At 42.9% G+C, this 16,088-nt stretch overlaps 1 long non-coding RNA gene and 1 pseudogene across 1 annotated transcript, besides 1 other annotated feature; one reads left to right on the top strand and one right to left on the bottom strand.

Moving 5' to 3' along the window:
- Positions 797-2,024, bottom strand: HMGB1P40 (high mobility group box 1 pseudogene 40; annotated as a pseudogene).
- On the top strand, positions 3,158-16,088 carry LOC105376584 (uncharacterized). Its single transcript, XR_931105.1, has 4 exons — positions 3,158-3,243; positions 14,464-14,523; positions 15,215-15,243; positions 15,910-16,088. It is a non-coding gene; the product is annotated as an uncharacterized LOC105376584 (long non-coding RNA).
- Positions 14,841-15,010: an enhancer, noted in NCBI's record as "experimental_20020 CRE fragment used in MPRA reporter constructs". NCBI's record gives its function as "activates a minimal promoter by MPRAs in K562 erythroleukemia cells, with activity observed for the introgressed 11:20582777 variant allele {active_cell/tissue: K562}" and the evidence as "EXISTENCE:reporter gene assay evidence [ECO:0000049][PMID:34662402]".

Raw genomic sequence — 16,088 nt, 5'->3', positions numbered from 1 at the left:
AGTTTATTTGCATAGAGGTGTTTGTAGTATTCTCTTATGGTAGTTTGTATTTCTGTGGGATCAGTGGTGATATCCCCTTTATCATTTTTTATTGCATCTATTTGATTCTTCTCTCTTTTCTTCTTTATTAGTCTTGCTAGCGGTCTATCAATTTTGTTGATCTTTTAAAAAAACCAGCTCCTGGATTTTTTGAAGGGTTTTTTATGTCTCTATCTCCTTCAGTTTTGCTCTGGTCTTAGTTATTTCTTGCCTTCTGCTGGCTTTTAAATGTGTTTGCTCTTGCTTCTTTAGTTCTTTTAATTGTGATTTTAGGGTGTCAACTTTAGATCTTTCCTGCTTTCTCTTGTAGGCATTTAGTGCTATAAATTTCCCTCAACACGCTGCTTTAAATGTGTCCCAGAGATTCTGATATGTTGTGTCTTTGTTCTCATTGGTTTCAAAGAACATCTTTATTTCTGTCCTCATTTCGTTAGGTACCCAGTAGTCATTCAGGAACAGGTTGTTCAGTTCCCATGTAGTTGAGCGGTTTTGAGTGAGTTTCTTAATCCTGAGTTCTAGTTTGATTGCACTGTGGTCTGAGAGACAGTGTGTTATAATTTCTGTTCTTTTACATTTGCTGAGGAGTGCTTTACTTCCAACTATGTGGTGAATTTTGGAATAAGTACAATGTGGTTCTGAGAAGAAGGTATATTCTGTTGATTTGGGGTGCAGAGTTCTGTAGATGTCTATTAGGTCCACTTGGTGCAGAGCTGAGTTCAATTCCTGGATATCCTTTTTAACTTTCTGTCTCATTGATATCCCCATATATAACTAATTTATGCTGTGCACCAACAAGAACCTGCTTTAAATTTCCATGCCAATTTGCAACCCGCATACTATAACAGGCAAGGTTAGTTGTTATTGAAAATACCACCAGGACAGGGCTATCTAAAGACACATTCGGTAGTGTGTTAACTATACAAAAAAAGACACTGTACAATTTAAAAACAAATCTTACACACCCTTACATTTCAGTTTTTGTCTTTAAAAGGAGTGAGTTGTGTACAGGGGGATTAAATGCTTTATAGACAAAAGAAAAACTGCACTAGAACCAACTTGTTCATCATCACCATCTTCTTCATCTTCATCATCTTCTTCATCTTCATCTTCATCTTTCTCCTCCTCCTCATCCTCTTCATCTTCCTCATTTTCCTCCTCTTCCTTCTTTTTCTTGCTTTTTGCAGCCTTGACAACTCCATTGTTTGCAGCATCATGCTTTCCTTTAGCTCGATATGCAGCAATATCCTTTTCGTATTTTTCTTTCAGCTTCGCCGACCTCTTTTCATAAGGCTGCTTGTCATCTGCAGCAGTGTTATTCCACATCTCTCCCAGCTTCTTCGCAACATCACCAAAGGACAGGCCAGGACGTTCTCCTTTGATTTTTGGGCCATACTCAGAGAAGTACAGGAAGAAGGCTGAAGGAGGCCTCTTGGGCGCATTGGGATCCTTGAACTTCTTTTTTGTCTCCCCTTTGGGAGGGATATAGGTTTTCATTTCTCTCTTATAATGGGCCTTGTCCGCCTTTGCCATATCTTCAAATTTTCCTCTCTTTTTGGGGGGTGGGGGGTGGGGGGACAGAGTCTGGCTCTGTTGCCCAGGCTGGAGTGCAGTGGTGCGATCTCCGCTCACTGCAAGCTCCACCTCCCAGGTTTACGCCATTCTCCTGTCTCAGCCTCCTGAGTAGCTGGGCCTACAGGAGCCCGCCACCACGACCGGCTAATTTTTTGGGTTTTTTTTAGTAGAGACGGGGTTTCACCGTGTTAGCCAGGATGGTCTTGATCTCCTGACCGTGATCCACCCGCCTCAGCCTCCCAAAGTGCTGGGATTACAGGTGTGAGCCACCGCGCCCGGCCAAATTTTCCTTTCTCTTTAGCAGACATGTTCTTCCACCTCTCTGAGCACTTCTTAGAAAACTCTGAGAAGTTGACTGAAACTCTCACTTTCCCCGGTGCTGTCTCTATGGAGCTCAATGTACTGCAATGGCTCTATAAAGCCGTTCTTAAGAATATAGGAAAGTACTTAAGATTCAGTGTTAGGCAACAAAAACTTACAGTATGATCTTATTCTGTTAAAAAAAAAAAAAAAAAACACTGGGTGCAGTGGCTCACACCTGTAATCTCAGCACTTTGGGAGGCTGAGGTGGGCGGATCACCTGAGGTCAGGAGTTCAAGACCAGCCTAGATAACATGGTGAAACCCCCTCTCTACTAAAAATTAAAAAAATTAGCCAGGCGTGGTGTTGGGTGCCTGTAATCCCAGCTACTCAGGAGGCTGAGGCAGGAGAATCCCTTGCACCCAAGGAGGCATTGGTTGCGGTGAGCCGAGATTGCACCATTGCACTCCAGCCTGGGTGAGGAGTAAGACTCCGTCTCAAAAAAATAAAAAATTAAAAAAATAAAGTGATTAGAACAAGGACTGGAAGGAACTGGTGTGAATATTAACAATTAGTGCCTATGAAGGTAAGAGGTGGGCTGAATTTTGTTTTATCTCTTTACATTTTCTGTATTTCTGAACTTTTTGTAGTAGACATATATTAATTCGACAGGAAAAATAATATTCTTTTTATGAAAAGACTAGAAGGAAGTAGATTAAGACTTTTTTTTTTTTCCAACTCTTAGCTGGCCCTTCTCACTTATAGAAAATGATACTTTACACACAATTGACATCATGCTTGGCCATGTGACTTGCTTTACTCAATAAAGTGTAAGTGGAAGTGATACATTACTTCCAAGCAGAATTCTTAAAGGCATCAAATGGTTCTTCTGTCTCTCTTTTCCTTCTGCCATGAGAACAGCATATCCTATAGAGAAGCTGTTCCCTTTATCCTATATCCCCAAGTGAAGAGGTCATAGAACACAGTCATGGCCAATTCCCAAAGGACGTTTATAATCTGTGATGGTTAATATTGAGTGTCAACTTGATTGGATTGAAGGATGCAAAGTTTTGTTCCTGGGTGTGTCTGTGAGGGTGATTAACACCAAAGGAGATTAACATTTGAGTCAGTGGACTAGGAGAGATACACCCACCCTCGACCTGGGTGGGGAGCATCTAATCAGCTGCCAGCATGGCTAGAATAAACCAGGCAGAAGAAAGTGAAATGAGCAGACTCGCTGAGTCTTCCGGCCTTCATCTTTCTCCTGTGCTGAAGGCTTCCTGCCCTCGAACATCAGACTCCAAGTTCCTCAGCTTTTGGACTCCTGGATTGGTATGACCCTGCGTTGCAAAGCTCAGGCAAAGAGTGGTAGAAGGGTGGCATGTTTAAATTCTGTGTATTTAGAATCATTCGCCAGTGATTTGCCAGGGGCCCTCAGACCTTTGGCCACAGACTGAAGGCTATAGTGTCAACTTCCCTACTTTTGAGGTTTGGGGACTTGGAATGGCTTCCTTGCTCCTCAGCTTGCAGACAGCCTATTGAGGAACTTCACCTTGTGATTGTGTGGGCCAGTACTCCTTAATAAACTCTTTCATGCGCGTCCATGTGAACAGACCACCAAACAGGCTTTGTGTGAGCAACATGGCTGTTTATTTCACCTGGGTGCAGGCGGGCTGAGTCCGAAAAGAGAGTCAGCGAAGGGAGATAGGGGTGGGGCCATTTTATAGGATTTGGGAAGGTAATGGAAAATTACGGTCAAAGGGGGTTGTTCTCTGGTGGGCAGGGGTGCATCTCACAAAGTACATTCTCAAGAGTGGGGAGAATTACAAAGAACCTTCTTAAGGGTGGGGGAGATTACAAAGTACATTGATCAGTTAGGGTGGGGCAGAAACAAATCACAATGGTGGAATGTCATCAGTTAAGGCTGTTTTTACTTCTTTTGTGGATCTTCAGTTACTTCAGGCCATCTGGATGTATACGTGCAAGTCACAGGGGATGCGATGGCCTGGCCTAGGCTCAGAGGCCTGACATTCCTGCCTTGTTATATTAATAAGACAAATAAAACAAAATAGTGTTGAAGTGTTGGAGCGGCGGAAGTTTTTGGGGGGTGGTATGGAGAGAGAATGGGCGATGTTTCTCAGGGCTGCTTCAAGCGGGATTAGGGGCGGCGTGGGAACCTAAAGTGGGAGAGATTAAGCTGAAGGGAGGTCTTGTGGTAAGAGGTGATATTGTGGGGTTGTTAGAAGAAACATTTGTTGTGTAGAATTATTGGTGATGGCCTGGATATGGTTTTGTATGAATTGAAAAACTAAATGGAATAAGAGAAGGAGGAAAACAGGTATAAAAGGTCTAAGAATTAGGACGACTCAGGACATCTGATTAGAGAGTGCCTAAGGAGATTCAGCATAGCCCTGCCAGCAAAGATTATTTATTTACTTCAAGAGTTAAGAATGGCAGTTTGGGGATAGCACGAGGCTAGCGTGATCAGGGTGAGGAACAGGAAAGAAGGAAATATGGGGAAATGGGGTGAATATCAGGTGGATCAGAGAGATGCAGTCATGAGGGTCAGGTGTGGTATCCGGAATAATGTGGGAGGCCGGATTGAAGTCCCGGCCAGGAACAATGGTAATTGTGGGAGACTCAACAAAGAGTGAGTATAGCTGAAGGAGCCGGGGAGCAGAAAGTATATATGTCAGGTGTGAGGAAGAAAATAGATTTTGGAAATTATGAGAGCTGTAGAGAGTGAGTTGAGCATAGTCTGTGATTTTTAGGGCCTCTAACAGTATTAAAGCAGCGGCAGCCGCTGCACACAGACATGAGGGCTAGGCTAAAACAGTAAGGTCAAGTTGTCTGGACAGAAAGGCTACACGGTGTGGTCCTGGCTCTTGTGTAAGAATTCTGACCACACTAACCATGCCTAGGAAGGAAAGGAGTTGTTGTTTTGTAGAAGGTGCTTGGGTTTGAGAGATCAGTCGGACACGATTGGCAGGGAGAGCACGTGTGTTTTTATGAGAATTATGCCGAGATAGGTAACAGATGAGGAAGAAATTTGGGCTTGACTGAAGTAATGGGGGCTGTCTGTGAAGCTCTGCAGCAGTACAGCCTAGGTAATTTGCTGAGCTTGGTGGGTGTCAGGGTCAGTCCAAGTGAAAGCGAAGAGAGGCTGGGATTAAGGGTGCAAGGGAATAGTAAAGAAAGCATGTTTGAGATCTAGGACAGAATAATGGGTTATAGAGGCAGGTATTGAGGATAGGAGAGTATATGGTTTTGGCACCACCGGGTGGATAGGCAAAACAATTTGGTTGATAAGGCGCAGATCCTGAACTAACTTGTAAGGCTTGTCTGGTTTTAGGACAGGTAAAATGAGGGAATTGTAAGGAGAGTTTATAGGCTTTAAAAGGCCATGCTGTAGCAGGCAAGTAATAACAGGCTTTAATCTTTTTAAAGCGTGCTGCGGGATGGGATATTGGCATTGAGTGGGGTAAGGGTGATTAGGTTTTAATGAGATGGTAAGGGGTGCATGATCGGTCGCCAAGGAGGGAGTGGAGGTATCTTATACTTGTGGGTGAAGGTGGGGGGATACAAGAGGAGGACGCAAAGGAGGCTTTGGATTGGGAAGAAGGGCGGCAATGAAATATAGCTGTAGTCCAGGATAGTCAGGGAAGCAGATAATTTAGTTAAAGTGTCTCAGCCTAATAAGGGAACTGGGCAGGTGGGGATAACTAAAAAGGAGTGCTTAAAAGAGTGTTGTCTAAGTTGGCACCAGAGTTGGGGAGTTTTAAGAGGTTTAGAAGCCTGGCCGTCAATACCCACAACAGTTATGGAGGCAAGGGAAACAGGCCCTTGAAAAGCAGGTAATGTGGAGTGAGTAGCCTCCGCATTGATTAAGAAGGGGATGGGCTTACCTTCCACTGTGAGAGCTATCCGAAGCTTGGCGTCGGTGATGGTCTAGGGGGCTTCCGAGGCGATCGGGCAGTGTCAGTCTTCAGCCGCCAAGCCAAGAAGATCTGGGAAGGAGTCAGTCAGAGAGCCTTGGGCCAGAGTTCCAGGGGCTCTGGGAGTGGCTGCCAGGTGAGTTGAACACTCCGATTTTCAGTGGGGTCCCACAGAGATGGGACATGGCTTAGGAGGAATCCCAGGCTGCGAGCATTCCTTGGCCCAGTGGTCAGATTTCCGGCACGTGTAGCAAGCTCCTGTGGGAGGAGGTTCTGGAGGAATGCCTGGCCACTGCGGTTCAGGCGTTTGGAAGTTCTTGTGTGCTGGAGATGTGGCTGGGGTTTGTCTCACAGTGGAGGCAAGGAATTGCAACTTTTTTCTATTATTGTACCCTTGAAGGCAAGGTTAATTAAATGCTGTTGTGGGGTTTGAGGGCCAGAATTTAATTTTTGGAGTTTTATTTAATGTCGGGAGCAGATTGGGTAATAAAATGTATATTGAGGATAAGATGGCCTTTTGACCTTTTAGGGTCTAGGGCTGTAAAGCGTCTCAGGGTTGCTGCAGAACGAGCCATGAACTGGGCTGGGTTTTTATATTTGATGAAAAAGAGCCTAAACGCTATCTGATTTGGGATAAAGTAAAAGGAGCATTAACCTTGACTATGCCTTTAGCTCCAGCCACCATTTTAAGAATAAATTGCTGGGCAGGTGGGGGAGGGCTAGTCACAGAATGAAACTGTAAGCCAGACCAGGTGTGAGGAGGGGAGGTGATAGAAGGATTATAGGGTGGAGGAGTAGAGGCTGAGGAAGTATTGGAACCTAGCTCGGCCTGGCGAGGAGGGGAGAGGTCAGATGGGTCTGTAGAAAAGGAAGATTAGAAAGACTCAGCGACACTTGGGGTTGGGACTGAGGGGACAGGCGGGAGGGAAAGAAGGAAGATTTGGGACGAGTTGCACTGGGCACAGAGACTAGGAAGGGACTGATGTGTAAAAGAATGCCTGGAAGTCAGGCACCTCAGACCATTTGCCCATTTTATGACAAGAATTATTTAGATCTTGTAGGATGGAAAAATTGAAAGTGCCGTTTTCCGGCTATTTGGAACCACTGTTGAGTTTGTATTGGGGTCAAGCAGCATTGTAGAAGAAAATAAGGCATTTAGGTTTTAGGTCAGGTGTGAGTTGAAGAGGTTTTAAGTTTTTGAGAACACAGGCTAAGGGAGAAGAAGGAGGAATGGAAGGTGGAAGCTTACCCATAGTGAAGGAGGCAAGCCCAGAAAAAAGAGTAGAGACACAGAGAAGGGGTAGGGGGTTCTTACCCTCCAGAAAAGCAGAGAAGGGGTTGGGGCATGGAAATAAGGGATTGAAGCACAGAGATAAGAGGTCAGGGTGCGGAAATAAGGGATTGAGGCACAGAGATAAGAGGTTGGGGTGCGGAAATAAGGATTGGGGGTTTCTTGCCCCCTAGGAAAGTGGGACTTGCCACTAAGGGTGAAGGAGAAAGGGTTGAGGGGTACTTGCCCCTGCCCCAGGAAAGCAGGACTTGCCGCTAAGGGTGAAGGACCAAGGCAGGCGTCCCTGCGTGGTCTGACACCTTTGAAAGGTGAGTGTATAATCAGAGAGGTGTCCCTGCAATGATTAAACACCAAGGGAAGGCTGCCTTCCCAGTCCGTGACCGGCGCCAGAGTTTTGGGTTCACGGATAAAACATGTCTCTTTTGTCTCTACCAGAAAATGAAAGGAATTGAAATTAAGAGAAGGGAGAGATTGAAGTGTGGGGCCAAGATTGAAAGGAGAAAGAGGTGGAGGGATAGTGAGGGAGGTTGGAGAAGAGGGTAAAAAGACGCCGCTTACCGGATTTGAAATTGGTGAGATGTTTCTTGGGCTGGTCGGTCTGAGGACCTGAGGTCGTAGGTGGATGTTTCTTATGGAGCAAAGAGCAGGAGGACAGGGGATTGATCTCCCAAGGGAGGTCCCCCGATCCGAGTCACGGCACCAAGTTTCATACGTGTCCGTGTGAAGAGACCACCAAACAGGCTTTGTGTGAGCAACATGGCTGTTTATTTCACCTGGGTGCAGGCGGGCTGAGTCCGAAAAGAGAGTCAGCGAAGGGAGATAGGGGTGGGGCCGTTTTATAGGATTTGGGAAGGTAATGGAAAATTACAGTCAAAGGGGGTTGTTCTCTGGTGGGCAGGGTTGCATCTCACAAAGTACATTCTCAAGAGTGGGGAGAATTACAAAGAACTTCTTAAGGGTGGGGGAGATTACAAAGTACATTGATCAGTTAGGGTGGGGCAGGAACAAATCACAATGGTGGAATGTCATCAGTTAAGGCTGTTTTTACTTCTTTTGTGGATCTTCATTTACTTCAGGCCATCTGGATGTATACGTGCAAGTCACAGGGGATGCCATGGCCTGGCCTCGGCTCAGAGGCCTGACAAACTCCCCTTCATATATACATCTATCCTAATAGTTCTGTCCCTCTAGGGAACCCTGACTAATACATAATCTAAGCAAGAAATAAAACTTTATTGTTTTAAACCACTAAGATTGGGGGATTGTTTGTTACCAAAACATAATTTGGAGAAAGCTAGCTGATACATAGACACTCAGACATAAAATGCACAAGGCAACAATAGTATAACATAGAAATAAGCCAACAAACAAAAACCAATGAAATGAAAGCGTCAGACTAAATAATTTCTTGAATCTCCTTCCAGCTCTGAATGAAATAGGCATGACACATTGAAAGGCCCATAGTGGCCAGGTAGGCAAGATTAATATATGAAGCATCCCTGAAACAAGTGCTGAAAAGTATAATACCTGCCTAATTACACTGTATTTAAAAATACTTCTGGAGCAAGCAAAGTACATATGTCAACTGTACATTGCACCTCCTGCCTAAACTCTTTGTAGCTATGTCTTTGATCAATACCAGGTCTCAAATCAGGAGCACTTAGATGGAAGAAACCCTGAGAAAGCTGGAGGCAGTTTTGAAATGGGTCCAGATAACCTCTTAAGGTGATTCTCCTGCTGGTCAAACATGTTGGGTGAGTTTGCACCATTGTTTAGAGCACAGGCTTTGGAGTTAGACCTAGTTTGGGTTCTTAGCTCCAGTTACTAGCTCCATGATCTCTAGCAAATGGCTTTTAATCTCTGTAAGCTTTAGTTACATTTTTGGAAAATGAGATAATAATAGAATCTACCTCATGGATTTGTTGGGAGTGAATGAAGTAATGCGCTTAGTATAATCCTTGATAAATGTGAGCTGTTGCCAGTATTACTGTTATTATTTTCTCTTGGTTATGAAGTAATCCTTGGAGCTGATGCCCTCTTGCAAATATAGTTTAAAATCAATGCAGAGGCTATAAGTCTTTAAAAATACGTTTTTTTTTTTGTTTTTTTTTTTTTTTTTTTTAGACAGGATATTGCTCTGCTGCCCAGGCTGGAGTGCAGTGGCACAATCATGTCTTGCTGCAGCCTGGACCTCCGGGGCTCAAGCATTCCTTCCACCTTAGTCTCTCAAGTAACTGGGACTACTGACATGCACCACCATGCCCAGCTAATTTTTTTAAACTTTTTGTAGAGACAGAGTCTCACTATGTTGCCTAAGCTAGTCTCGGAAACCTGGACACAATCTGTGGCCAAAGGCCTGAGAGGCCCTGGCAAATCACTGGCGAATGATTCTAAATACTACAGAATTTAAACATGCCACCCTTCTGCCACTCTTTGCCTGAGCTTTGCAACGCAGAGTAATGCCAATCCAGGAGTCCAAAAGCTGAGGAACTTGGAGTCTGATGTTCGAGGGCAGGAAGCCTCCAGCACAGGAGAAAGATGAAGGCCGGAAGACTCAGTGAGTCTACTCATTTCACTTTTTTCTGCCTGCTTTATTCTAGCCATGCTGGCAGCTGATTAGATGCTCCCCACCCAGGTCGAGGGTGGGTGTATCTCTCCCAGTCCACTGACTCAAATGTTAATCTCCTTTGGCAACACCCTCATGGACACACCCAGGAACAATACACAAACTATCCTCCCACCTTGGTTTCCCAAAGTGCTGGGATTACAGGCATGCATGAGCCAATATACCTGGCCTAAAATACGTTTTTAAAAGAAAATCACTAATCTGGTTTTAGCCCTGAGTTATCCAAATGATCAAATTCCTGTGCCCTTCTTCAAGTTTTTCTTAAAAGGTAAAAGTGGGAATATTAGATACACTCGATTTTTGGCCTTCTAGGTTTCACTACAATGTATACTTTTTTCTTTCTCTTTGCTCTGTATGTGATAAGAAAAAAGTCTTTAAAGAAGAAAAAGTTACCAGATTTGTAAACCAGTTTTCCAATTACTGAGCTTCTGCAAAGAAAGATGCCATAATTGCTCAAGGTGAAAGAAAAAGAAAGAGATATCATAAATTATCATGAAGATCGATGGTAGAAGCTTTCTGAAGACCCAAAGAGCACTGTGCCCTGTCTTACCTGTCAGACATGAGAGAATAAAACTGCTCACTCACCAGAAGATACTTGTATGCAACCATCCTTCAGCTGGATTTTTTTCTTCCCTACTTTCTTGGACACACACACATGCACACACACACCAAAAAATAACTTTATCATAAAGCTCCAACTAAGTAAGGGATAAAGATGAGTTGAAAGACAGAGAGTGGTTGGTATGCAACAAGATCAAAAAAAAAAAGAGAGAGAGAAAGAGAAAAAGAAGAAAAATCTGAGAGTGGGAGTTGCCCCACTGGCTGTCAGTGGCAAGAAAAAGCACTGTGAATCAAAATGAAACAAGAAAGATAATAGAGGTATGGTTATCTCAAATTGGTGCACTTTGATTCATTGTTATTTTCCACAACCTATCTTTGATTACAGACTCTATCTTTAGAAGGCAAACTTGGACAAGGCAAAGGTAAAATGCTTATGAACAATTGGCCCAACACTGACTCTAAGAATATCTTTTGGCTGCTTAGGTAATTTTCTTGATTGACTGAATCTCACTATCCTGGGGGCTAGTAAAGCACCTGGATATTTTGTCCTTTGAGCCATCAATGAGAATTTCTCCTGCAGCAGCCTTCTAGAACTAAGTTGCTGATTTTTTAACTCCCTTCACTGGTTTCACGTGGGGGAAAAAAAATAAAAAGCCTTTTCAACTGGGTTAATGTTTGACTTGTTTTGCTTTTCATATACTGTTCACAGTATGTGATAATATTTTTATTCACTCAGTAAACATTTACTGGGCATATCTCTAGGCCAGGTATTCCTGAGGACAGAGCAATAAAATAGATGCAGCCTCTGCTTTCATTAAGTTTTTGACCTATCAGGGAAAAGGACTAATAGGCTATTGTGATAAGACTGTGAGGAAGCTTGTGTTAACAACAATAAACATTAATTGAATGATTACTAGGAGCCAGGTACAAAGTACATTTCATGCATTAACTCACTGAATCCCTATGACAATTAGATAAGGTTGGTAATATTCTTATCTCCATTTAAAAGATGAGAAAACTGAGGCAGAGAGCAAATATACAACTTGCCCAAGGTCACCAACTTGTTGGTAGCTGGGCTATGAACCTAGGCAGTATGGCTTTAGATATGGCACTTTTAGCCATTATACTATAATTTAAAAAGCTCCAGGTACCCAGGGTTGGGGAAGCGTGTTCTCTAATCTGGTCCAGGTGGTAACTTTGCTGAGTCCGGCAGATCAAACAGGATTTAGCTTGGGAAGTGTGGTTGTATCTAGTGTAAATGCTTTCAGCTGCAAGTAACAGAAACCCAGCCAACAGTGACATAAACAAAGAGAGGATTGTTTTTCTACGTAACAAAATGTCTGGCAGTAAGTGGTTTCTAGCATTGGTCCAGGGGATCTAGGAAGTCAGACTTCTGGTCAACATCACTTTCCTTTCTCTTATTGGTCTGTGACAGGTGCAGGTCTCGTAATCAATTTCTAGGGGAGAAAGTGAGGGGAGTATGGGGCTGAAAGTTTTTGCTTACATATCTTCTTCTTGTAAAGAAGGAGAAATCTCTCAAGATGTCACGAAACAACTTCCTTTAAAAAATCATGAGCTAGAACTGGACTATATGTCACTTCTAGACCAGGGTCTGCACCTACTTTCCTTGGGACTAAGAGATTTCCAGGATTCTGTTGGCAAATAGAAAGGAAAGACTGAATTTTGAGTAGGCTTGTTGCCTACAATGCCTGCCAGAAAAGAGAATCATGTTCTAGGAAGAGGGAATCACACATGCAAAAGCTTGGCAGAAAACCAGAGCATGACAAAATTAAGAGTGGAAAGATGCTGAGTATGGCTGGAGACTAGCTTGACAGATGGCAATAGATGAGGCTGGAAGGGGTTGGAGATCCCAGAGCATGAAAAGCTGTGCCTAAGGAGTTTATACTGTGTTCTAAAGACAAAGGGAAATCAATAAAGGATTTTAGATATGGTAATGACCTGAGGTGACTTGTTTAGAAGGCTCATTCTGGCAGCTCTGTGAAGAACATTTGAAGGGTACTAGGAAGATGAGAGGGAAGAAAGTCATTGAGAAGATGCTGCAGAGGTACAGGTACAGGATGCTGGTGTCTTGAGCTCTTATAGTGGCATGGTGATGGAAAGGGGTAGATCACCATTTTTAGGAGGTAGAATCAAAGACTCAATGATTGGGTTTGGGAGCGAGGCCCTAGCAGCCTGATGAAAATTACTGATGAATACTGTCTGCATTTCCATTAGTAAAAACAGTATCATCAAAAGGCGTGGTTGCTGAAACCACCAAGGGGCAAGTTAAGTGGCAACTACTATGGAAGAAAATCCATACAGTGTATTCTTTTTCTTTTCTTTTTTTTTCTTTCCTTTTTTTTTTTTTTTTTTTTTTTGAGACAGGGTCTCACTCTGTTACCCAGGCTGGAGTGCAATGGCACAATCTCGGCTCACTGCAACCTCTGCCTCCCAGGCTCCCACCTCAGCTGGGACTACAGGTGTGTGCCACTACACTGGCTAATTTTTTGTAGAGACGGGGTCTCACTTGGTTTCCCAGGCTTGTCTAGAAACTTTGGGCTCAAGTGATCCTCCCCCCTTGGCCTCCTAAAGTACGGGGATTACAGGAGTGAGCCACCACACCTGGCCCATTCATTTTTTAACTTGAATATTATTTCTGTTATACACATACATATGTCACATCGAATCGTTTCACAATGCTTGCAATGAGAAACCACTGTCAAATTATGATCACACCACTGCACTCCAGCCTGGACAACAGGGCAAGACTCTGCCTCAAAATAAATAAATAAATAAATAAATAAATAAAAAGGCACTGTCCTTTGCCCCAGTTTACTCCACTAACAATTACGACTCCATAGAAGCATCTACTGAATATTTCGGCTGTTTCTTCTGATGCTTTTCTCCACGCTTCTAATTAACATGATTGTTCTGCTATTTCTTGACTTCTAACTACGGAAAGTAGGATTTGGGTTTCTTCCATTTCACCACCTACCCCTCCATCATACATGTACACACAAGCCCTCTCCTCTGAGCCTTCCAATGTCCTTATCTATCATAAATTGGAGTTAAAACAATATCAATTGTTTGCTTTATTATGACCATGTGACTGTTATTCATAGATGAGACATTCAAAACATTATGATTTCATTCTCATTCTTGTACAACGTTTTGGATAACAAATTGCCTTGCTTTCTATGAATCTAAAAGTAAATCATTTCTTAATCTTCACTAGAAATGTAAATATTCTTGTCAATATATTGAAACATATTAGCTTATCTAACGATACCACTTTTTTTCTTGAAGATCTCCATCTGCAAGCCTCCAACTCCTCTGCTCCAATGTGAACTCATTATTCTCTAGGCCTGTGTATCAGCTATTTCAGTAAAACAAACTACCCTAGGATTTAGCAGTAAAAAACAACAATCAGTTATTTATTCAGTTCATTTATTTAGTTCACAATTCTTCAGGTTGGCAATTGGGACTGAGCACAACTGAATGGTCCTCCTGGTCTTGGCAGGACTCCTTCAGACATCTGCAGTTAATTGCAGCTTAGTTAAGTAGCTGTGCTTGGGGCAGGAGGTTGGTGGGTGGCTATTGGATAGTATGATTTCTTATCCTTCTAGCAGGTTAGCCCAGGCTCAGTGGTGGAGGCAAGGATCTGAGAGAAAGGAAATATGTAAAGCCTGTTGAGGCCAGGATTAGAATGGTTCACTGTGACTTCTATCACTTTGTACTGGCTAAACGAGTCACAAGGCCAGCCAAGATTCAAGAGGTACAAAAATAGACTCCATGTCTTGATGGAAGAATCTGAAAAGTCACTTTACAAATAATATAGATACAGGAAGGTCACCAACTGGGGCTATCAATTTAAGCAATCTACTAGTCTGGTACATAATTATTGTCCCAGGATGTCCTTCCACCCTCACCCTTTGAGTTCTTGTTTTCATCTTGTATTGGATCTCCTGTATATCAGTCAGGCTTCAGAAATGATGCCAGTTATTTTAACAGACCAGAGGGTGAGAGGTGGCTTAGCTGGTGCTGGTATCTCTGAGGGGCATAGGAGGCTGATCTTGAAAGTGTTGGGAAAACTGTCAACTGGATTAACAGTTGCTACAAGAAGGAACTTTTGCTGCCAGGGGGAAGAAGTGTTGCCAGTGTGATGCTCTCAGGAACTGCAAGAGAACAGCAAGCAAACAGTAAGGAATAAGTCCCTTCTTCCTTCCCCAGTCCTCCAGTCTCCCTCTAGCAACCCTGCTCCCCCACTAGCAGAGATTAACAGGGAGTCAGCTGGCCAAGGTGAAGAGTGATTTTTGGAGTCTGAGCCCCAGAATCATGTAGCAGAGTATGGAATTGTGGGTTTGCAGCTGCAAGACAAGATAACAGGCACACTCTGTTTTCTGGTTTCTATGTCTTCCTAATTTTTGTCCCTTCAGTAACTTCCTAAGGAAGGATCCATGTAAGATAGACTGTTTCAGATCTTTAATATCTGAAATATCCTTAGCCTACCATCACAATTATAGTTTGGCTGAATATGGAGATCATTTCCCTCATTATTTTGAAGGCATTACTCCATTATTTTCTAGCATCCATTGTGGCCATTAAGTCTGATGCCATATGGATGTCTGAACCTTTGTATATGACTTATTTTTGTTGATTTTTGTTTGTTTGATCTTTTCTTTCTGGCTGCTTTTAGGATATATCTCTTTATCTCCGTTATCCTGAAATCACAATAATTTACCTTAGTTCTGTTTTTTCTCTGTTTTTTAAAAAAAATTCATTCTGCAAGGTAGTTAGTAAGTCTTTTCAGTCTACAAACTCATTTCTGGGAAATTTTATTGAAGTCTTTGATCATTTCTTCATATCTTTTTTCTCTGTTCTTTCTTTCAGGAATTCCTGTTAGCCAGTTGTGGAATCATGTAAGTTTTTTACCATTGTTTTCTTACTGTCAAGTGTGTAATTCCCCTGTTTGCAGTATGGTGCCCTTGCATTTAGCAGTGCCTGATATCCAGAAGAGTCCTTATGATTCAGCACCTCCACAGAGTGTACCTCCAGGCTCTGGGGTATAGCAAGAGTATTTACTTGATTGTTTAGGGCAGGAGAAAAGATATAGAAGTTAAGATATGCCTTTTACACAAACTTGCAGCTCATTCTCCTTTTAGCCTCACCTACACACTGAATTTCAGATGTACTTCCTGCCTTCAATATCTGAATCTCTAGGCTTCTATTGCATGAACTAACTTCCTTCTTGGCTTCCTCCATTTCAGACTTTAGTTTTCTTTTTCTCTGGTCTGCTAAGACAGTTTCACTTACCCACTTGTTTTTATCTCTTTTGACCTATCTTTGACTCTATCAGCACTGCTGGAAAGCATTTCTATCAACAAGAGACAACAGAGATGTAGTTGTCTTAATTGAAAAAGATGGTAACATTGGTAAATGTGCTTCAGAGGTTGTGGTAGATTGTTGTAGCAATTCCCTCAGTGAATCAAGTTATCTACAACCTTGCGTAGCTCTCTCCCACATTGAATTAGCAAATGGGAAGCAGGTAGAGGCTTCTGCATTGGGATTTACTCTCTGACTGCTAGGAACCCTGAGCCCACCAAGTGAAGAATCAATGGCTAGACTCCTGGAAGGTGAGAGAACACATGGAGAGAAGCCAAACCATCCCAGCAGAACCCAGACCTGTCATACCAGCTACCAGCTGACTGCAAATGAATGAACTCATTTAATACCAACAGTAGACCCACCTACCTGAGCCTAGCCC

The sequence above is a fragment of the Homo sapiens genome, chromosome 11 (genome assembly GCF_000001405.40).
Source record: "Homo sapiens chromosome 11, GRCh38.p14 Primary Assembly".
Lineage (NCBI taxonomy): Eukaryota > Metazoa > Chordata > Mammalia > Primates > Hominidae > Homo > Homo sapiens.
The sequence above is the reverse complement of the archived record's forward strand: the minus strand, read 5'-3'. Positions and strand labels throughout refer to the sequence as shown.